The 20,152-nt window shown below is 61.0% G+C and overlaps 2 protein-coding genes across 3 annotated transcripts, besides 10 other annotated features; both read right to left on the reverse strand.

The window, feature by feature from the left end:
* Positions 1 to 50: 50 nt before the first annotated feature.
* GARIN5B (golgi associated RAB2 interactor family member 5B) lies at positions 51 to 8,403 on the reverse strand. The gene is made up of 11 exons (NM_001145402.2): positions 8,060 to 8,403; positions 7,721 to 7,875; positions 7,388 to 7,646; positions 6,553 to 6,577; positions 6,317 to 6,381; positions 6,143 to 6,246; positions 5,996 to 6,048; positions 5,836 to 5,912; positions 3,288 to 5,122; positions 403 to 488; positions 51 to 238 (listed from the first exon to the last, which is right to left on the reverse strand). Exons 1-10 carry the CDS (start codon positions 8,207 to 8,209, stop codon positions 443 to 445), a joined length of 2,769 nt encoding a protein of 922 aa, NP_001138874.1. The 5' UTR covers positions 8,210 to 8,403; the 3' UTR covers positions 51 to 238; positions 403 to 442.
* Positions 4,639 to 4,768: an enhancer, noted in NCBI's record as "active region_15091". NCBI's record gives its function as "activates an Ori minimal core promoter by ATAC-STARR-seq in GM12878 lymphoblastoid cells {active_cell/tissue: GM12878}" and the evidence as "EXISTENCE:reporter gene assay evidence [ECO:0000049][PMID:35858748]".
* Positions 4,888 to 5,388: an enhancer, noted in NCBI's record as "H3K4me1 hESC enhancer chr19:55871113-55871613 (GRCh37/hg19 assembly coordinates)". NCBI's record gives its function as "activates a minimal SCP1, AML or CMV promoter by ChIP-STARR-seq in naive H9 embryonic stem cells {active_cell/tissue: H9 hESC(naive)}" and the evidence as "EXISTENCE:reporter gene assay evidence [ECO:0000049][PMID:30033119]".
* Positions 8,210 to 8,814: an enhancer, noted in NCBI's record as "H3K4me1 hESC enhancer chr19:55874435-55875039 (GRCh37/hg19 assembly coordinates)". NCBI's record gives its function as "activates a minimal SCP1, AML or CMV promoter by ChIP-STARR-seq in primed H9 embryonic stem cells {active_cell/tissue: H9 hESC(primed)}" and the evidence as "EXISTENCE:reporter gene assay evidence [ECO:0000049][PMID:30033119]".
* Positions 9,525 to 15,606, reverse strand: IL11 (interleukin 11). Of its 2 annotated transcripts, NM_000641.4 has the most exons (5): positions 15,447 to 15,606; positions 13,912 to 14,084; positions 13,626 to 13,712; positions 13,353 to 13,514; positions 9,525 to 11,320 (listed from the first exon to the last, which is right to left on the reverse strand). In NM_000641.4, exons 1-5 carry the CDS (start codon positions 15,451 to 15,453, stop codon positions 11,150 to 11,152), a joined length of 600 nt encoding a protein of 199 aa, NP_000632.1. In that variant the 5' UTR covers positions 15,454 to 15,606; the 3' UTR covers positions 9,525 to 11,149. The 2 variants fall into 2 exon arrangements, with proteins under 2 accessions (NP_000632.1, NP_001254647.1); NM_001267718.2 differs by lacking the exon at positions 13,912 to 14,084.
* Positions 13,861 to 14,702: an enhancer, noted in NCBI's record as "H3K27ac-H3K4me1 hESC enhancer chr19:55880086-55880927 (GRCh37/hg19 assembly coordinates)". NCBI's record gives its function as "activates a minimal SCP1, AML or CMV promoter by ChIP-STARR-seq in naive H9 embryonic stem cells {active_cell/tissue: H9 hESC(naive)}" and the evidence as "EXISTENCE:reporter gene assay evidence [ECO:0000049][PMID:30033119]".
* Positions 14,369 to 14,548: a silencer, noted in NCBI's record as "silent region_11026". NCBI's record gives its function as "represses an Ori minimal core promoter by ATAC-STARR-seq in GM12878 lymphoblastoid cells {active_cell/tissue: GM12878}" and the evidence as "EXISTENCE:reporter gene assay evidence [ECO:0000049][PMID:35858748]".
* Positions 15,546 to 16,386: an enhancer, noted in NCBI's record as "H3K4me1 hESC enhancer chr19:55881771-55882611 (GRCh37/hg19 assembly coordinates)". NCBI's record gives its function as "activates a minimal SCP1, AML or CMV promoter by ChIP-STARR-seq in primed H9 embryonic stem cells {active_cell/tissue: H9 hESC(primed)}" and the evidence as "EXISTENCE:reporter gene assay evidence [ECO:0000049][PMID:30033119]".
* Positions 17,122 to 18,025: an enhancer, noted in NCBI's record as "H3K4me1 hESC enhancer chr19:55883347-55884250 (GRCh37/hg19 assembly coordinates)". NCBI's record gives its function as "activates a minimal SCP1, AML or CMV promoter by ChIP-STARR-seq in naive H9 embryonic stem cells {active_cell/tissue: H9 hESC(naive)}" and the evidence as "EXISTENCE:reporter gene assay evidence [ECO:0000049][PMID:30033119]".
* Positions 17,122 to 18,299: a biological region, named in NCBI's record as "CRISPRi-validated cis-regulatory element chr19.6204". NCBI's record gives its function as "regulatory_interactions: UBE2S".
* Positions 17,302 to 18,299: a transcriptional cis regulatory region, noted in NCBI's record as "candidate enhancer chr19.6204 targeted for multiplex CRISPR interference". NCBI's record gives its function as "positively regulates UBE2S gene expression in K562 cells {active_cell/tissue: K562}" and the evidence as "EXISTENCE:mutant phenotype evidence [ECO:0000015][PMID:30612741]".
* Positions 19,694 to 19,915: a silencer, noted in NCBI's record as "fragment chr19:55885919-55886140 (GRCh37/hg19 assembly coordinates)". NCBI's record gives its function as "represses an EF-1alpha promoter that drives an FKBP-Casp9 reporter gene in an ReSE screen in K562 erythroleukemia cells {active_cell/tissue: K562}" and the evidence as "EXISTENCE:reporter gene assay evidence [ECO:0000049][PMID:32094911]".

The following is a 20,152-nucleotide window of genomic DNA, read 5'->3' on the forward strand; positions in this document are numbered from 1 at the left end:
CGCCCCCTCGGGGGCCTGCGCGTGCACACAGGCACCGAGGTGCGACTCGCTGAGTCTCAGGCTCAAGCTTTAATCTCTGCGAAGTTGGGCGGCTCCACGGGCTCGCCCCCGCCCCCCCCCGCCCCCCAATATATAAAGGCATATCCATAGTTCTGGTATCTACCAGAGGGGGCAAATCCCCCCAAGCGGCTTTCAACATTCCGCTTCCTACAGTCGGTGCGCACAGAACCCTCGGGGCCTGTGGGGTTAAGAGGAAAGAGCAGCGGTGGGGTCCGGGCTCCTGGGAACCCCCCCGCCCCCCTCGTCCTCCCCCCTCCGTTACCCGCCCCCCCCACCCTCCTCCCTCGCCCCCCTCCCCCCGCCCCCAGGTCTAAGGCAGATCTCCAGGGTCTTAAAGGGTACCTGGCAGCGCTGGGCTCCTCTGGACAGTTTCCAACTGAGGTTAAGCCCCCGCATCCGGCCACTCGGAGTGCTGGGAGTGCTGCAGGCTGCAGGGAGAAAGCAAGCCAGAGAGAGCTTTGGGGGACAGGGTAGGGAGAGAGGGGTACCCAGGGCTTTAAGAGCTGCAGATGCCTGGCTTAGGAGAGCGTCCCCCAGGGCGGGTCTTGCTGTGTGTTTGGCTCACTGTTGTATCTGCCTGGGGCAGAGTCTGGCAGTAGTAAATGCACAATAAATCCGAGGCGGAATCAATGAGTCTTGGCTCTAGGGGCAGACAAGTAACTGGAATCTGGGCAGGTGGTTTCACCTCTAGATCCCTGCTAAGCTTCTCTCCCTCCTGCCTGGTTAATATCAGGCCTGACTCAGGATTGTTTACACTGACAGCCAAATGTACGAATTAAGAATCCCGGCCAGGTGCGGTGGCTCATGCCTGTAATCCTAGCATTTTGTGGGGCAGAGGCGGGAGGATTGCTTGAGTCCAGGAGTCTGAGACTAGCCTGGACAACATGGTGAAACCCCATCTCTACAAAAAATACCAAAATTAGCCAGGCGTGTTGGTGCGTGCCTGTGGTTCCAGCTACTGAGGAGGCTGAGGCAGGAGAATCACCTGAGCCTGGGTAGCTTGAGGCTGCAGTGAGCTGTGATGGCATCACTGCACTTCAGTCTGGGCAACATGTGAGACCTCTTTTCTACAAAAAAATCAAAAACTTGGCTGGGCTTTTGGAGGCTGAGGCAGGAGGATCACTTGAGCCCAGGAAGATAAAGGCTGCCATGAGCCACGATCACACCGCTGCACTCTAGCCTGGCAATAGAGCTCACCCCTGTAATCCCAGCACTTTGGGAAGCCGGATGGATCACCTGAGGTCAGGAGTTTGAGACTAGCCTGGCCAACATGGCGAAACCCCATCTCTAAAAAAAAAAAAGAAAAGAAAAGAAACAGGGTGTCACTCTATTGCCCAGGCTGCAGTGCAGTGGCACGATGGTGGGTCACTGCAGCCTCGACTTCCCAGTTCAACCAGTCCTCACATCTCAGCCTCCAGAGTAGCTGGGACCACAGGCACATGGCACCATGCCTAGTTAACTTTTTTTTTTTTTGAGACGGAGTCTCGCTCTGTTGCCCAGGCTGGAGTGCAGTGGCACGATCTCAGCTCACTGCAACCCGTCGCCATGCCCGGCTAATTTTTGTATATTTAGTAGAGATGGGGTTTCACCATCTTGGCCAGGCTGGTCTTGAAATCCTGACCTCGTGATCCACCCTCCTCGGCCTCCCAAAGTGCTGGGATTACAGGTGTGAACCACCAACTTTTTTTGTTTTCACATTTTGTAGAGATGAGGTCTCACTCTTTTGCCCAAACTTGTCACCATTTTTTAATGTACCCCTTAAAGTGGCATTCGGCACATTCACAATGTCATGCAACCACCTCTACCTAGTTCCAGGGCATTTGTATCACCCACAAAGAAACCTCCAACCTGGCTGGGCACGGTGGCTCACGTCTGTAATCCCAACACTTTTGGGAGGCCGAGGTGGGCAGATCACCTGAGGTCAGGAGTTCGAGACCAGCCTGGCCAACATGGTGAAACTCCGTCTCCACTAAAAATACAAAAATCAGCCGGGCGTGGTGGTGAGCACCTATAATCCCAGCTACTCGGCTCCTCAAGAGGCTGACAGGAGAATTGCTTGAACCCAGGAGGCAGAGGTTGCAGTGAGCTGAGATCGCGCCACTGCACTCTAGCCTGGGCGACAGAGCAAGACTCCGTCAGAAAAGAGAAGAGGAAGGGAGGGGAGAGGACCTCCAACCCATGAGTAGTCACTCCCGCTTCCTCCACACTAGACCCCTGGCCTCCAACGATTCACTTTCTGTCTCTACGGGTCAGCCTGTTATGGACATTTCATGGAAATGGGGTCTTTGTGGCCTTTTCTGTCCTCCAGGTGCCCACTCTTGCCCCCCTACATCCTCCATGCCCCAGCCAGAGGCAGCCTCTTCACACATAAATCCGTCTCCATCATTCTTCTGCTCCAAACCCTCCAGCTCGCTCAGAGTCAGAGCCAAAGTCCCTAAAATTGTCTGCAAAGTCCTCCATGATGGGCGCCCCCCTGCTGCACCTCTGACCGCATTTCCCACCCCGGGATCCCCGTGGTCCAGCACATTACAAACACTCCTGCCTCAGGGACTGCAGTGGCTGTTCCTTCCGCTGGGATGCTTTCCCCCCAGATGTCCTCATGGCTTCCTCCGTCCTCTCCTCCAGGTCTTGACACAAACAACCCCAGCTCCGTGAGGGCTCCCTAGAGCACCTGGGCTGTGGTGGGGGCTGTCCTGTGCACTGTAGGTTGCTCAGCAGCATCCCTGGTCTCTACCTGCTAGAAGCCAGGAGCACATCCCACCACCACCAGCCCCATGGTCGGACACTGTATCCCCACTGCCTAGAACAATGCCTGGCACAGAGTCGGCACTCACTATATATCAGAGTGAAAGGGGGCCAGGCGTGGTGGCTCACGCCTGTAATCCCAGCACTTTGGGAGGCCGAGGCGGGTGGATCACTTGAGGTCAGGAGTTCAAGACCAGCCTGGCCAACATGGTGAAACCCCATCTCTACTAAAAATACAAAAATTAGCTGGGCGTGGTGGCACACGCCTGTAATCCCAGCTACTCAGGATGCTGAGGCAGGAGAATTGCTTGAACCCAGGAGGCGGAGGTTGCAGTGAGCCAAGATCATACCACCGCACTCCAGCCTGGGTGACAGAGTGAGACCCTGTCAAAAAAAAAAAAAAAAGTGAAAGGAAAGAGTGATCATCTCTGTCTCATAAACAGCAGAGCTCACAGTAAATAATAGCTGCTAACCCCCGCTACCTGGGCAGAAGGTTCAAGACGCCCGATTCCTCCTGTATCTCCTCTGCCTTGGTGGCCGTGTTCCTCACAGTTTCAAGTTCTAAGAGCATGGGCAAAAGAATTTCTGAAGACGACCCCACAGTGGCCAGGGGGTGCTGGGCTGGCATCCTCATGGGCTCCTGCGACACCCTCTTGGGCTGCTGGGACGCCCTGGCTGTGGCCTCCATCTTTGAGATGAGGGTCTCCGAGAGGGGCGATGGCCGTAAGTCCTCCCACGGTGAGGCGGTCAGGGGGATAGGCGCCTGGGAGATTCCTTCCCTCTTCAGACTGGCAGAGGTGGGCTTGGAGCGAAAGGGCACCTTGGGTGGCCCCTTGGGGTCCCAGGGTGGCTCCTTCATCTCGCCCCATGGCTGCTCCTTCATCTCGCCCCATGGCCGCTTGCCCTCCTTCACCCAGGTGTGCGACTCTGGCTGCTCTCTGACCACCACTGGCTTCCCCTCCAGTAAGGACAGCTGGCCGGGGCGGGAGGGCACTGAAGCCATCATTGACGTGGCCGACGCCTGCGGAGTCGCCAAGAGCCAGGAGGGAAGTGAGACCAAAGCGGATTTCGAGGGCTGCTCTTTGGAGTTGGCCGTGATCATGAGCTTGGTGAGGGTGAGCGCTTCCACAGAGAAGGGCCTGCTGTGCTCCTGGGAGGGGCCCTCGACGGCCAGTTCCTTGGCCTTGACCCATCTCTTCCGCTGCTCCAACTCCTTGGATCTCACGCCAGGCAGGTCCGGGGACCTCTCTTCAAGCTTCGCCCAGTGGGCCCAGTCCTCCAACTTCCCCTGGCCCCTGAAGGCCTCCAGGGTCACCTCCTTGGTTTGGCTAATCAGGATGTCCTTGGACTCCTTCTTGGTCACGGTGAAGGGCGACTCCGGGGACTTGGCCTGAGTCGTCATCTCCACCACGTCTGTCTCCTGGGTGCGCACCGTCACCACCGGCTCCGGTTTCCCTCCAGACTGGCTTCTCTCCAGCACGGCTCTTCCAGGAATTCCTGTTGGCAACACGTCAAAATCGCCAGGGAGCTTCCCCCGTGAGGCAGGCGGGCTCAGCGCCATCTGGTATTCGGTAGGTGAGGTTGGCAGAGCCTTCTGGGATGGGGCAGGGAGGAGTAGAGATTTCTTCTTTGGAGCAGTGGGGGACACAGCCTTCTGGGGAATGGTAGGTACAGATGGGGCCTTCTGAGATGGGGGTGGGGTCTTCTGGGGTGGGGCAGGTACGGCTGAGGCCTTTCGGGGAGAAGCTGACGCAGCTGAGGCCTTCCGGGATGGAGCAGGTATGGCTGGGGCCTTCTGGGATGGAGCAGGTACGGCTGGGGCCTTCTGGGATGGAGCAGGTACAGCTGGGGCCTTCCGGGGAGGAGCTGACGCAGCTGGGGCCTTCTGGGGAGGAGCCAATCCAGGTGGGGGTTTCCACGATGAAGCAGGTACAGCTGGGAGCTTCTGGGACTGGTCAACAAGGAACGGTGCCTTACAAGATGTGACAAGGCCAGATGGGGCCTTCTGGCAGGGTGGTGGCCCCGGCCCCTGGTGGGAGCCCATAGGCCCGGCCTTTTCCCTGCCCCTGGGGATGGAAGAGTAGGGTGTGGAGAGGCAGGCAGCCGGGGGATAGGGAGCCAGACCGGAGGCAGCAGACGACAAAGTGCTGCCCCCAGAGTCCATGAGGTCTTCCGTGTCCTGATGCCACAGGCACGGGTCCAGGGAGCTGCAGGAGCCCAGAAAGAAGCCATCAGGGCTGTCAGCTGAGACACAGTGTGAAGGGCTCTCAACCACATGTCCCTGGCCTGTGGCTTCATCAGATGCAGATGTGCAGGCCTGTAGGTGGACAGAGGGGAGAGGATACATGGTCAGGATGCATGGAGACCCCAGACCCGGGAGGGCAGACCCCTGCTCCCTCCTCCCTCAGACTCAGGAGTCCAGGCCCCAGCCCCTCCTCCCTCAGACTCAGGAGTCCAGGCCCCCAGCCCCTCCTCCCTCAGACCCAGGAGTCCAGGCCCCCAGCCCCTCCTCCCTCAGACTCAGGAGTCCAGGCCCCAGCTCCTCCTCCCTCAGACTCAGGAGTCCAGGCCCCCAGCCCCTCCTCCCTCAGACTCAGGAGTCCAGGCCCCAGCTCCTCCTCCCTCAGACTCAGGAGTCCAGGCCCCAGCTCCTCCTCCCTCAGACCCAGGAGTCCAGACCCCCAGCCCCTCCTCCCTCAGACTGAGGAGTCCAGGCCCCAGTCTCTCCTCCCTCAGACTCAGGAGTCCAGGCCCCAGCTCCTCCTCCCTCAGACTCAGGAGTCCAGGCCCCCAGCCCCTCCTCCCTCAGATCTAGGAGTCCAGGCCCCCCACCCCTCCTCCCTCAGACACAGAAGTCCAGGCCGCAGTTCCTCCTCCCTCAGACCCAGGAGTCCAGGCCCCCCACCCCTCCTCCCTCAGACCCAGGAGTCCAGGTCCCAGCCTCTCCTCCCTCAGACCCAGGAGTCCAGGCCTCCAGCCCCTCCTCCCTCAGCTCTGGGGCCTGGGCCCTGCCCCGGGTATAAGGCTGGCCTTTGGAGAGGACTGTGTCTGGTTGGCGGTGCTGGAAATGATGCTGAAGATGGTCCAGGTGGTGATGCTGGTCTTCTCTGGATGGGGGAGCCGTCTGAGCCCTTTGGGGCAGGAACCAGAGCCACACACTGTGGCAAGGGGTGGGGTGGGTTGATCTTACCAGGCAAGCGGATTTGGGTGTGAGTTCTGTCGGGGCGGGGGTCTGAGTGGGACCTGCAGGAGCAATACCGTGGGACTTTGGTGGCATCTGGGCTGGGGTCTCCCACCTTCTCCCACCCACCCACCGGCAACAAGACCCCACGCCCACTTCTTTTCTGCAGGTTTCTTCCTGACGTCAGCATGCTCCAGCTGCGACCAGATGAGGGGCACAGAGTCGCCCACGGCCTGAGACTTGAAACTGCGCTTGAGCGCCTGGAGTGGGTGAGGAAGGGACGGTTAGACAGGGGCAGCCCCTTGGGCCCACACCACCCCGCCGGCTCACCTTGGCCTTCCTCTGTCTCTGAGCAGCCACCGTCTTATGCGGAAAGTTGCGCTCAGCAACCCTGACTGGGAAGAGAGGAGACATCCTGGGTCAGGGACCCCAGGGGAGGGCACGAGGACCTACCCCAGGAGCTTGTGGAGGGCCCCACCAAGGAAGGGGGAAGAGCCAAAGGGTGCAGCTCTGTCCCTGCGACGGGGAGAACCCAGAGGTCCTGACAAACAGCAGGGCCTGCTCACCTGCATGTCTGCTGATGGGCTGGTCCTGCAGAGATAGAGGGAGGCAGGAGGGGCCCGGGCTTCCACATCTCCATAACCTACCCAGCGAGAGGCCTAGGCCCCCTCCTGCTCCCAGGACCTGACGATCCAGCTCCTCCTGCCTCAGACCCAGGAGTCCAGGCCCCCAGCCGCTCCTCCGTCAGACCCAGGAGTCCAGGCCCCCAGTCCCTCCTCCCTCAGACCCAGGAGTCCAGGGCCCCAGCCTCTCCTCCCTTGACTCAGGGGTCCAGGCCTCAGTTCCTCCTCCCTCAGACCCAGGAGTCCCCAGCCCCTCCTCCCTCAGACCCAGGAGTTCAGACTGCCAGCCCTCCACCCTCAGACCCAGGAGTCCAGACCCCACAGCCCCTCCTCCCTCAGACCCAGGAGTCCCCCAGCCCCTCCTCCCTCAGACCCAGGAGAGTTCAGACTGCCAGCCCTTCACCCTCAGACCCAGGAGTCCAGGGCCCTTAGCTCCTCCGTCAGACCCAGGAGTCCAGGCCCCCAGTCCCTCCTCCCTCAGACCCAGGAGTCCAGGGCCCTTAGCTCCTCCCTAGACCCAGGAGTCCAGGACCCCAGGCCCTTCTTCCCTCGACTCAGGGGTCCAGGCCCCCAGCTCCTCCTCCCTCAGACCCAGGAGTCCAGGCCCCCAGCATCTCCTCCCTCGACTCAGGGGTCCAGGCCCCCAGCCCCTCCTCCCTCTACTCAGGGGTCCAGGCCCCCGGCCTAGACTTTGGGCTCTTGGTCGCAGTCCCCTCTGGATCTGGCCGGAGGGTTCCTGGGGCCTGCCATGCCCTGGTCTGTGGAGCTGGGATCCCACCTGCAGGTGCCAGGTGGAGGCAGGCGCTTCGGCCAGCGGCATATCCAGGGGGGCCGTGCGCGTGGTCCTGGGGGTCCAGGTGGGAGCCGGCTCCTGAAGCAGGTTGATGAGGCGGACCCAGCAGTGGAACAGGAAGCCCACCTCGTTGTCAGGGGCGTCCAGGGCCAGGTAGTACTGGCGGCCCGAGACCAGGCGCAGCTTCAGGCGCCAGGCAGAGAGGTCATGGACGCAGAGGTGGACGAGGTCCAGGGGGATCATCCTGGGAGAGGGAGAGGGGAGCGTCTAGAGCAGGAGGGGTGGAGGGGGCGGCCGAGGGGTTGGGGGATGCGGCACCTGGTCAGCACGAGGCCGGAGCAGTCCCTGTCCTCGGCGGGCTGGCCGATCAGCAAGATGTCAGGCAACACCAGGCCTGGCAGGGAGGCGGCCACGCCCATGGCCAGCCGGTTGGTTCTGTGATTCACGAACACTGGGCCCCCTTGATGGGTCACCTGGGGCAGCCAGGGAGAGGGGGCTGGGACCACTCCTTCCTCCAGCAGCCACAGCCTGAGCCTCCCTCCTGATCGTCCCCCACACAGTGACTGCTAAATCCCGTTCCCTCTCAAGATCCCCCAGCACGGGGGGCCTTGCTTCCCCTCTGTCCCTCTCAGCCCCGGGGCACTGGGAACTGGAGACCTGAACAAAGTTACTCTCGAACATGGGCAGCGGACGGAGGGGCAGGTACTCGCCCTTCTGGAGGGTCTTTTGCAGCTCCCCCAGAACAGGGACCCACTTCGGGGTGCCCTGGAGCGGCTCAAGGCACCTCCTGTTTCGAAGCCAGATCATGGTGGCTGTGGTGGATGGGTACTGGTTTAGGGACCCAGAACCCAGGCGTGCAGGCCTCCCAGCCCCGGCCCACCAGCCTTGACCCGTGGGGCTTCACGGGTGCCTGGAGCTCAGCGTTACAGAGCGTGGAGATGCCCCAGGCTGGGAGACTCGGGCCTCCGCCATGGCCCTGCCAGGGTGGACAGCAGGGGTCTGGGGGAGGAGCCTCTGGTGGAGGGGCTTTGTGACCTCATCGGACACACAGGGGCCTCTTCCAGGAACTCTCCGGGGACTGTGGGCTCCCTTCTCCTCCAGGGATACAGCCTGGAGTTTTTTGTTTGTTTGTTTGTTTTTTGTTTTTTGAGATGGAATTTCACTCTTGTTGCCCAGGCAGTGAGCTTAGATTGCCACACTGCACTCCAGCCTAGGCAACAGAGCGAGACTCCATCGCAAAAACAAACAGCCCTATGCAGTGCGGGGCCCCAGGCGAGGCTCAGACCCTGCCTCCACGGAGGAGGCACGATCACCCAGACAGCTCTGTGGAGGCAGGGTCTGAGCCTCGCCTGGGGCCCCGCACTGCCTAGGGCTGTTTGTGATGTGATCTCGGCTCACCGCAACCCCCGTCTCCTGGGTTCGAGCGATTCTCCTGCCTCAGCCTTCCGAGTAGCTGGATTGTATTTTTAGTAGAGACAGGGTTTCTCCATGTTGGTCAGGCTGGCCTTGAACTCCTGACCTCAAGTGATCCACCCGCCTCAGCCTCCCAAAGTGCTGGGATTACAGGCGTGAGCCACCGCGCCCAGCCAGCCTGGAGTCTTGAGGGCTATGATGGGTGAATCAAAACTCCGGGCCCAGGATGGGCACCTCCAACCCCAGACTCAAACTAGTGACGACACGGGGCCCCTGGAAGTCTGTCTGGGTTATTGTAAAGGGAAAAGTAACTAAAGCATTTGAATTATCATCCCTACTCTGCCATTGACCCTTCTCTAGGCCCTGGGTAAGACCCAAATCCTTACTGAACCTGTTTCTCCATATCTCATGTGTGTGCATGTGGCGAGGATTCCTCAACACCGACTTGCAAAGAGAGCTTTGGGAAAGAGCCAGACACGGCGCAGAATCCCACTTCCACCTCTCCCTAGCTGTGTGACTTTGTGCAACAGAGTCCCCACTCCTTGTCTGAGACTCAGTTTCCCTCGCCTGTAAAACAGGGCGTATTCAAGAGTCCAGGAGGATTGTGTAAGTAAAAAGCCCACACTTAGTGCACAGCCCTGACAGGCTCAATCAGCGGTCAACTTTGTCCCCTCCTGAGGGCTTATTTTTGGAGAGGAGGAGGCTGATATTCTGTTATTCTAAAAATAGTGTTTATTATTTTTAAAATGTGTCATGCAAAATACACAGTCATGGCAGAAATTCTGTAAAATACAGACAATCATACACATTAAAAGTCACCCACAATCCCACCTCTCTCCTTTGACCTGGAGACAGTCATTGTCAACATTTTGGCGTATTTCCCTTTAGGATTTTTGTTTTAATCCATATATAGAAAGAAAAACACAAAATTGGGATCACAGCATGCAGTGGTTTTGTAGCCTGCTGTTTCATGTCAGGACATCATTCTTTCTTTTTTGAGACAGGGTTTTGCCATGTCTCGCAGGCCGGTCTCGAACTCTTGGACTTCAGTGATCCACTCGCTTCGTCCTCCCAAAGTGCCAGGATTACAGGCGTGAGCCACCATGCCTGGCCAATGTCAGGATATCTTTCTATATCCCAAGCAAGCCTCTCTCCTTAGCCTCCCTGAATGACAGTCCCTGCTCCGGGCGGCTGGGTGGCGTTCTATCCACAGATGCACCATGTTGCTTAACCCTCACTGTTGGATATCTAGATTGTTTCCAGTTTGCTATGGTGAACACAGCCATAATGAACCATCTTGACCTTGCAGCTTTGTCCCATACGGGTACTGTTGATCACAGGGTGACTTGTGGAACCTTCCATTAAATATTTATTGAAGACCTATGGGTCAGGTGTGGTGGCTCACACCTGTAATCCCAGCACTTTGGGAGGCCGAGGCAGGAGGATCACCTGAGGTCAGGAGTTCGAAACCAGCCTGGCCAACATGGTGAAACCCTGTCTCTACTAAAAATACAAAAGAAATAAATAATTAGCTGGGCATGGTGGTGCACACCTGTGATCCCAGCTAATCGGGAGGCTGAGGCAGGAGAATTGCTTGAACCCGGGAGGTGGAGGTTGCAGTGACCTCAGATTGCCTCACTGCACTCCAGCCTAGGCAACAGAGCGAGACTCCATCTCAAAAAACAAACAAAAGGCCCTATGCAGTGCGGGGCCCCAGGCAAGGCTCAGACCCTGCCTCCACAGAGCTGTCTGGGTGACCGACCCATCTCCCAGTCGCTGCCCCGCCCACTCGGGACCTCCACCTGAATGGAGGTCTCCCCTCCACCTGCCCTGCCCCAGTTACCCAAGCATCCAGCCCCAGCTCTCAGACAAATCGCCCTCAAGTGGATATGTATGACACATTTAATTCCCTGTTCTCTGTCTCACAAAGGTTTCTCACATTTTTGTACAAAAACCCAGGCTTCCCTTTCCCCTCCGTCCCCACCCCAACATGAAAAGTAATTGCTTAAATAAATAATATATGTTCCTGCCCAGGCCTAGATGGGGAAGAGCCAGGGCAGAAGTCTGTGGACAGACTTCTTGGAGACCCAAGAATCCGGGACCCCAGTCCCCTCCTCCTCGGGGACCCAGGAGTCCACCTGCCTCCCACCCCTGCTCCTGAAATAAATAAGTATAAATAAGGCACAGATGCCCCCCAGGCCTCACGGAAGGACTGTCTCTAACTAGGGGGAGATAATGGCGGGGGGATCACCTGGCTGTTTCGCCCCCAGTACTGAAATAAATAAATAAATAAGATCTGGCTTTGGAAGGACGGTGGTGGCTTTGGGCCCCGGGTCACAGCCGAGTCTTCAGCAGCAGCAGTCCCCTCACGGCCCAGTCAAGTGTCAGGTGCAGCCCCCCCAGGATGGCGTGGGCGGCCCTGATGCCCCCCCAGGCTGAGGAGGGGGGCGCCAGCGGGGGCGCCGGCGGGTCCGGGGGTGGCTGGGGCAGGGCCAGGCGGGACATCTGTGGGGAGAGGAGAGAGGTGAGTCACAGGTAGGGGGTGCAGCGGGGGTGCAGGGCAGGGGTGCTGTGGAGCTGCAGCTGAATCGGGGCTGCATATTCACAGGGGGACTGTGGCGCGTGGGGTGAAGTGTTTAGGCCGGGAGCTCTTCAGGCTGTGGGGTTCCGAAAATGGAGGCTGGAGTCAGGACGGGCTTCCAGAGCTGAGTGTGGGGGTTGGGGGTGAAGTCTGTGGAGTCAGGGCTGGCATCTCGGTTCTAGGTGAGGGATCGGGCCTGGGACTGTTAGAGTCGCCGGGGCTGGAATCTCAGAGCTGGGTTTTTGTTGTTGTGGCTGCTGTTAGAACAATTAAGAAGCCAGGCGCGGGGGCTCACGCCTGTTATCCCAGCGCTTTGGGAGGCCGAGGCGGGCGGATGGCCTGAGCTCAGGAGTTTGTGACCAGCCTGGGCAACACGGTGAAACCCTGTGTCTACTAAAATACAAAAAAATTATCCGGGTGTGGCAGTGTGCACCTGAAGTCCCAGCTACTCAGGAGGCTGAGGCAGGAGAATCGCTTGAGCCCAGGAGGCGGAGGTTCCAGCGAGCCGAAATGGCACCATTGCACTCTAGCCTGGGCAACAGAGCGCGAGACTCTGTCTCCAAAAAATAATAATAATAATAATAATTAAGAAACAGAGTCTTGCTATGCTGCCCAGGCTGTCTCAAACTCATGGCCTCAAGAGGTCCTTCTGCCTTGGCCTCCCCTGCCTTGGGATTACAGGAGTGAGCCACTGCTCCCCACCAGAGCTGGGGTTTTACAGACAGTATCTGAGGTCTGTGGGCTCGAGTCTAGGGTCAGGCCCTGGATCTCAAGGCTGAAGTCTTAGAGATGGGGTCTCTGGGTTCAAGTTCAGGAACTCATGGGTGAGGGCTGGAGTCTCAGAGCTAGAAGTTGGAATTTGAGATCCAGGGTCTTTGGAGTTAGGCCCAAGAACCAGGGTTTGAAGTCTTCTGGTCTCAGGGCTTTGGGCCTGGCTTTGGAAGTGAGGGTCTTGGAGTCGTACAGGCGCAGGCTCAGGATCTGAGGTGTCAGGGTTTTCGATGTTGGGAGTGAGACATAGGGCCTCAGGGCTCGGGGTCTAGGTCCTGGAGGTCTTGGGTTTGTACAGCCAGGGTCCCAAGGCTGGCTTTGGGTCAAGGTCTTGTATCTTAGGGCCTGGGATCTTTAAGATGTCAGGATCTCAGGGCTGGGGCCTGGGGTCTCAGGGTCTGGAGGTCCATGGTTTTCTTTTCCTTCTTTTTTTTTTTTTTTTTTTTTTTGAGAGAGAGGGAGTTTTGCTCTTGTTGCCCAGGCTGGAGTGTAATGGTGCGATCTCGGCTCACTGCAACCTCCGCCTCCCAGGTTCAAGCGATTCTCCTGCCTCAGCCTCCCAAGTAGCTGGGATTACAGGCATGCACCACCACGCCTGGCTAATTTTGTATTTTTAGTAGAGACAGGGTTTCACCATGTTGGTCTGGCTGGTCTTGAACTCCCGACCTCAGGTGATCCACTTGCCTCGGCCTCCCAAAGTGCTGGGATTACAGGCGTGAGCCACCACGCCTGGCCAGGTCCATGGTTTTCAATGTCATGGGGCCAGGGTCTCCAAGTCTTGAGGTGAGGATTTGAATTCTCAAGGCTTTGGGCTTCAGGATGGGGTCTTGGGTCTTAGGGGCTGGGATCTGGGGACTTTGAGGTCATGGATGATGGAGTCTCAGGGTCTTGGGTGAGAATTTGAAGTTTCTGGGCAGGATTTGGGGGTCTAGGGCCTCAGGGTCTCAGGGCCACAGGATCTTGGGACTGCAGGGTCAGGGTCTCAGAGCAGGACTGTTAGGGTCAGGGTCTCAGAGCGGGGCTGTTACGGTGTCAGGGTCTCAGAGCGGGCTGTTAGGGTGTCAGGGTCTCAGAGCGGGGCTGTTGCACTCGGGTCTGGGGTCTCAGGCTTCAAGGACTCAGGCCACAGGATTTTGGGGCCAGGGGTGGGGGTCTGGGGTGTCAGGTCTTGGGGCCAGGACATACCAGGAGCTGCAGCCGGCGCAGCAGCCGGTCCAGTCGGGCCTGCAGGGTGCCCAGCTCGGGCTCCAGGGTCTTCAGGGAAGAGCCACCTGCCCGGCGCAGCCACTGCACGTGCCGCAGGTAGGACAGTAGGTCCGCTCGCAGCCTTGTCAGCACACCTGGGAGCTGGGGATAGAGCCGGGACATCAGAGAACACCCGACCAGTGCCCCTCATCCTCCCCGCCCCCTTCACTGCCTGCCTCCCACCTTGTCCCCAGCCCACTCCCTTGCCCTTACCTGTAGAGCTCCCAGTGCCCCCGCACTCATGGCCAGGGTGGGCAGGGAATCCAGGTTGTGGTCCCCGTCAGCTGGGAATTTGTCCCTCTGGCAGGGAAAAAAGCTGTGAGGTGGCCCCTGCCCAGCCTCGGGGCTCCCTCCATCCCCCACGCCAGGCCCCCAACTCTTCCCCTCCCTCACTCTGCCACCTGAGAGCCCAGAACCCCTCCAAGTGGCTGCCCGCAGACTCCTCTCCGTTCCTCTCTGCCTCTCACTCCTGTGCTGGCCCCAGCCCAGTCTCTCCTACCAGCTGTGCAGCCAGCTGCCGCGTGTCCGCCAGGAGAGAGCGGGTCAGGAGCACGGTGCTGTCCAGCTCGGCCCGAGGGTCTGGGGAAACTCGAGGGGGGCCAGGTGGTGGCCCAGGGGCGACAGCTGTATCTGGCCACAGGCTCAGCACGACCAGGACCAGGCGGCAAACACCTGGGGGCAGGATAAGGCAGAGAGCTCAGGCTGGACTCCGGGTCTGAGAGAGGAGGGCCTGGGCCTGGACTCCCGGGTCTGAGGGAGGAGGAACTGGGGTCTGGACTCCTCCTGGGTCTGAGGGAGGAGAGGCTGGGGGCCTGGACTCCTAGGTCTGAGGGAGGAAGGCCTGGGGTCTGGACTCCTGGGTCTCGGGGAGGAGGGTCTGGGGCCTGGACTCCCGGCCTTAGGGAGGATGGAGCTGGAGGTCTTAAGTCCCAGGGTGGAACGCCCGCGGGCAGGTCGCAGGGCCAGGCGGGCTTCCCTCTCCCTCCCTGGCTCTGGCTGCCCCGCCCGTCGGAGCAGACGCGGCCCGGGGCGGGTAGACGGGCCGGGCGTCTCCCGTCCGCCCCCGGACGCCGGAATCTGGGCCCCGGGGCGGGGCATGGTGGGGGAGGCACAGGCCAGAACCTGCCCCCTCCCCGGGCCGCGGGAGCCCGAGCTGGCTGGGAGCAGGGGAAGGAGCCAGAAGCCAGGACGGAGCCCGGGAGACACGGACCTCTCCCACGGGAGACCCCTTAGACGCCCTCCCAGGAGCCCCGCCGGGTGGGCGGCAGAAGCCCGGGCCGCAGCGCACCTGGGCGGAGAGGGGCAGAGCCATGGGCCCGGCCGGGCCGCGGGAGCGGGAGAGCTGGCGGCGGGGGGCGCGGGGGGCGCGGGGGGCGCGGGGGTCCGGAGCTCGCTCCCCGCAGCCCACCCCGGCCGCCCCGCCCACCCGGCCACCCGCCAGCCAATCAGCGCTCCCCGGCCGCCCGCGCCTCGCACACCCCCAGCCCGCCCCCCGGGCCCGCCAGCCGTCGGTCTGTCCGCGCCTCCGTCGGCCGCATCTGCCCGGCTCTCCCCGCTTTCCCCCCGCGCCCAGTCTCTCTCCTCCCCCCGGCTGGGGTCGCTACTCCCTGGCTTGCTCCGCTCTCCGCGGACCCTGCCTCAGTTTCCCTCCGGAGCCTCTCTGCCGGAATCCCAGGGAGTCTCCCGGTCCCCGCGGGCTCCCTGGGGCCTGGGTCGATGGGGGTCACCTCCCTCCCGGCACCAGTCCCTGCGTCCCTGCCCCTGCTCGGTCTCCGCGTCTCGCTCCCTCTCGGGGCCCTGTCTGGCCCGTCCCTCCTGCGGCGCCTCTGATTGGCTGCCTCCATCCGCTCCTGTCTGTGTCTCTCTCTGCCCATCTCCTCCGCCGCCTCCTGTCTCCGAAGCTGCTCTCCTCCCCGGCTGCCTGTCTCCGGGTCCCTCTCTGTGCGACTCAGCGGGGTCTGCTCCCACCCCCGCCGTGGGTCCCTCTCCTCCCTGCCTCCCTGTCCCCTCCACCCTCCCCATGAACCAACTTACAGTTCATGTCCCCACAGGGCCAGGGGTTCCCCAGGGCAGGGGGCAGGGAGCCGGGGGCCTTTAACCCTTCCCTGTCCGCTGCCGGGGGAGCCCCGAGGGTCAGCTGGGCCGCGGCCTGGGGAGGGGAGGCATGTGCCCTGAGCAGCAGGGCCGCGGCAGTGAGGGAGTGTGGACGCCTGGGGGGTTATATAGGGGGCTGGGGCGGGCGGGCGGGGGGCAGGCGGCAGGGGAGGGCGGCCTGACACATCCTGACTCACCCTCCCTGCCTGCCTTTTCCATTCAGACGGAGCGGCTGCCTTGCAGGGCTCACGCCGCCGCGCTCGGAGGAGGGCACGGAAGGAAAAGTTGGAAAAGTTGAAAAGGGAAAGGGGGGGGTGGTCGGAGAGGGGCTGGTGAGGTCATTGGCGTCCCCTCCCTCCACCTCCACGGGCCGGAGCAGACACTCAGGCTCAAGCGCTGGGGCCCGACTGTGGGTGGGGGTCCGGCTGGACCAGGACTAGCAGAGAGAGATGGGGAGGCAGGAGGACGGAAAGGCAGAGAAAGGCCGGACGGAGGGACAAGACAGGGGCCTGGAGAGGTGGAGGCAGGAGGAAGAGGGAGTGGAAGGGAAGGAGAGAGAGAGAGACACACACACACACAGAGTGAAGGACAGACTGAGACAGAGACAGGGAGATGGAGATCCACAGAGATGGAGGCAGCCAGAGAGACACACCAGAGAAGCAAAGAGGATCAGAGGGGCAGCCCTGGAGACAGAGGGAGAGGTTCTGGGAGTCAGAGATCAGAGAGCGGGAGGAAGACAGCAGGAGGGACTTGGGGAGACCCAGGGAGACCCCGAGGGGAAAGGAACAGAGACACCAAGACTCTGAGACAGAGGATGCCGCAGCTGAAGAAAGGCACCAGGCAAACAGAGACACGGGGCAGAGTGACAGGGACGGAGAGGCCCCAGGGACAGAAAAGGGGAGACAGAGATATTAGAAAGACAGAGACGCTGAGATGTTGGGGACTCAGCAATGGGGGCAGAGAGTAAAAGCCTTTCTCATTTTTTGTTTGTTTTTTGTTTGTTTGTTTTTTGGTACTGAGTCTCACTCTGTCACCCAGGCTGGAGTGCAATGGCGCGATCAATGGCACAATCTCAGCTCACTGCAACCTCCACCTCCCGGGTTCAAGCGATTCTCCTGCCTCAGCCTCCCAAGTAGCTGGGATTACAGGTGTGCGCCACCACACCCGGCTAATTTTGTATTTTTAGTAGAGACGGGGTCTTACCATGTTGGCCAGGCTGGTCTCGAACTCCTGACTTCGTGATCCGCCTGCCTCGGCCTCCCAAAGTGCTGGGATGACAGGTGTGAGCTACCGTGCCTGGCCTCGTTTTTGGTTTTTTTGAGACAGAGTCTCGCTGTGTCACCCAGGCTGGGGTGCAGTGGTGTGATCTCAGCTCACTGTAACCTCCGCCTCCCAGGTTCAAGTGATTCTCATGCCTCAGCCTCCTGAGTAGCTGGGATTACAGGCACCCGCCACCATGCCTGGCTATTTTTTGTATTTTTAGTAGAGATAGGGTTTTGCCATGTTGCCCAGGCTGGTCTCAAACTCCTGAGCTCAGGTCATCCTCCCGCCTCAGCCTCCCAAAGTGGTGGGAATACAGGTGTGAACCACCACGCCTGGCCTTTTGAAAAGCCTTTCTCAAAGAGGCAGGTGGAGACAGGAAGGAGGAGGAGAGACGGAGACTGAGGACCAAGAGGCGCTGAGACACTCCATAGAGGCAAGACCTCCATGTGCGACTCTCCCCCTCTGTGCCTCAGTTTCCTCATCTGTGAAGGGGGGTTAATGATGCACCCTCATCCGCCTAAATGCCACGATGAGGATAAAGCGAGCTCATTCACGTGAAGCACAAAGTCAGTGCTGACCATCCTTATTCCCCTCGTTAACTTTTCTGAACACATCAGGGACACAGAGAAAAAGATGTCGCCTTCGAGAGAGATGGGGCAGGAGCAAGATGGGGTGAAGACGGGACAGTGGGGACACGGAGACAGTGGCCAGAACCACCGGGGCCAGAGCCCTGGACGTCACCGCACAGAGGTGGAGGCAGGAGAGGAGTGCAGGGGGGAGGGGACCCACAGGCCAGGGGGGAGGCAGCGACGCCTACCCAGGCTCACAGTGGGCCAGCCCCAGGCATGGGGGCAGAGGAGACCCGGGATTCACCACAGAGCAAGCGAGGGGCAGAGGTACCAAGCCATGTCCCCGAGAGCCCCCAGACCTAGATGGCAGGGAAGGACAGGATGGGACTGAGAGCGCGGAGGTGGTGGGGGCTCTGAGGCTCTGTGCAGACCCCCTCGTGTCAGCCTCCGAGACTGCCGGGCTGGTTGGAGGCTTCCCCTTCCCAATCCAGCACCACTGGAAGGGCAACTGCTCAGGTCCCCAAGGAGGTGAGGTCACAGCCCCCCCACGGTGGGACATGACCTCATCGCCTCAGGTAAGAGCTCTCTCTCCCTCTCTCTGGTCTGTCACAGCCACCCCTTTCAGGGCCCCCCAGGGGCCTTCCCCAGCACCAGCTCCTGCTGGGACCCAGGCCTCTGACCACCGGGTCTCCGCCCCTCAGGGGGCCTGCTTCCGGCTGAGTCAGTGTGGGGGGCCCAAGGCTGCGTCAGTGAGGGGAGAGCTGACGTAGCCCCCCCCAGACCGGCGGGACCAGCCAAGGTGACTCAGGCCACCAGCTTGGGGGATGGACTAGCCCGAGGGTATGGGGGACTGGCCTGGGGCCAGCTGGGGAGCAAGAAAAGGGTTCTGGTAATGCCAGCCCCGTCCACCTACAGGGACCAGAGCCCAATCCCCCAGCCCCTCCTCCCTCAGACCCGGGAGTCCAGGCCCCCAACCCCTTCCCCTTCAGACCCAGGAGTCCAGGTCTCCAGCTCCTCCTCCCTCAGACCCAGGAGTCCAGGCCCCAGCCATTCCTCCCTCAGATCCAGGAGTCCAGGCCCCCAGGCCCTCCTCCCTCAGACCCAGGAGTCTAGACCCCCAGCTCCTCCTCCCTCAGACCCAAGAGTCTAGGCCCAGCCCCTCCTCCCTCAGACCCAGGAGTCCAGGCCCCCAACCCCTCCTCCTGCAGACCCGGGAGTCCAGGCCCCCAGCCCCTCCTCCCTCAGACCCGGGAGTCCAGGTCCCCAACCCCTCCTCCCTCACACCTGGGAGTCCAGGCCCAGCCCCTCCTCCCTCAGACCCGGGAGTCCAGGCCCAGCCCCTCCTCCTTCAGACACAGGAGTTCAGGCCCAGCCCCTCCTCCCTCACACCCAGGAGTCCAGGCCCCCAACCCCTCCTCCCTCAGACCCAGGAGTCCAGGCTCCCAGGCCTTCCTCCCTCAGACCCAGGAGTCCAGGCCCTAAATTCTAGTTCAAGAAAGGTAGAGGAGGATCTTGGGGCCCTTCTGCACTTTGGGGAGCATGTGTGGGGAAGGTAATGGGTCTGGGACAAATCTGGGGTCCCAGCCGCTGCCAGTTTCCTGTCTCGTCTGGGTCCCCAGCCCTGGGTTGTGGGCTCAGACTCCGTCCCCGCAGTGTGGCTGCAGGAGGTACAGGTAGATGGGGCGGGTGCAGAGTGACGGGGCTGGGAGTGACTGGCAACTCCTGGGTCTGCCCAGGCCAGGGTGGGACACATTGGGCTACTTCTGTGCAAACAAGAGAAAGAGAGAGAGAGAGAGACAGAGCAAGAGATGAAGATCGGAAAAGAAACCCAGAGGCAGGACTGGGGAGTCCCAAGAAAATGACAGATGACAGAGACAAACAGAGCTGGAGAGACAGGGGCAGCAAAGGCCCCAGGAGGCAGCCAGCGCCACGGAACCCAGTGGAAGCTAGAGACCAGCTTGGAGGCTCGGAAACAGACTGGGCAGCCAGGGCCCAGGCCCTGGGGTGGTCACAGACACTGAGGAGAAGCCTCGGGGACATGGGGGATGGCCAGGGAGTCCTGGCTCCCGCGCGGCCCCGGGGGGAAGCCGAGCCGGCAGGGTGTGAGGTCAGCAGGTCCCAGGCTGTGTGTGTGTCCGTCTGTCAGTCCCTGGGGGGTCCCGTCTGGCCTCTGGGGGGTGACGGGGCAGGCCGGCCACAGAGGCAGCCCAAACCTGTCATTAGCGGTGAGGGCCGTGACGGCGGGGCCCCCCCAGTCCCAAGCCGCGGTCCAAGGCCAGGCGGCCCCGCCCCCCACCCCCTCCTTGATCCCTGAGGAATCCCGGGAATTGGGAAGTGGGTCCAGATGATGTTGACACAGGAAACGGTCAGCAGCTGCCCGGCCTCAGCCCCACAACCCCTCTGACCCTCACCCCCGGCCCCCTGCAGAGCCCCCTCTAACCTGTGTCATCTCTGACGAAGGCAGCCCGGGGCCCACTCAGTACCCACCAGGATGTTTACAGGAGAGATGGGTAACACGGGGAGTCACCCCACGGGGCTTCCTGAGAAATGGGGTCTGGCTCCTAGACCATCCTCCCAGACTCACAAGTTCAGGCCCCCAGCCCCTCCTCCCTCAGACCCAGGAGTCCAGGTCCCCAGGCATTCCTCCCTCAGACCCAATTCTGGCTCCCAGCCCCATCCTTCAGACCTGGGAGTCCAGCCCTCAGACCTAGGAGTCTGGGACCCCCCAGCCCCTCCTCCCTCAGACCCAGGAGTCCAGGCCCCCAGCCCCTCCTCCCTCAGACCCAGGAGTCCGGGACCCCCCAGCTCCTCCTC

The sequence above is a fragment of the Homo sapiens genome, chromosome 19, assembly GCF_000001405.40.
Source record: "Homo sapiens chromosome 19, GRCh38.p14 Primary Assembly".
Classification (NCBI taxonomy): domain Eukaryota; kingdom Metazoa; phylum Chordata; class Mammalia; order Primates; family Hominidae; genus Homo; species Homo sapiens.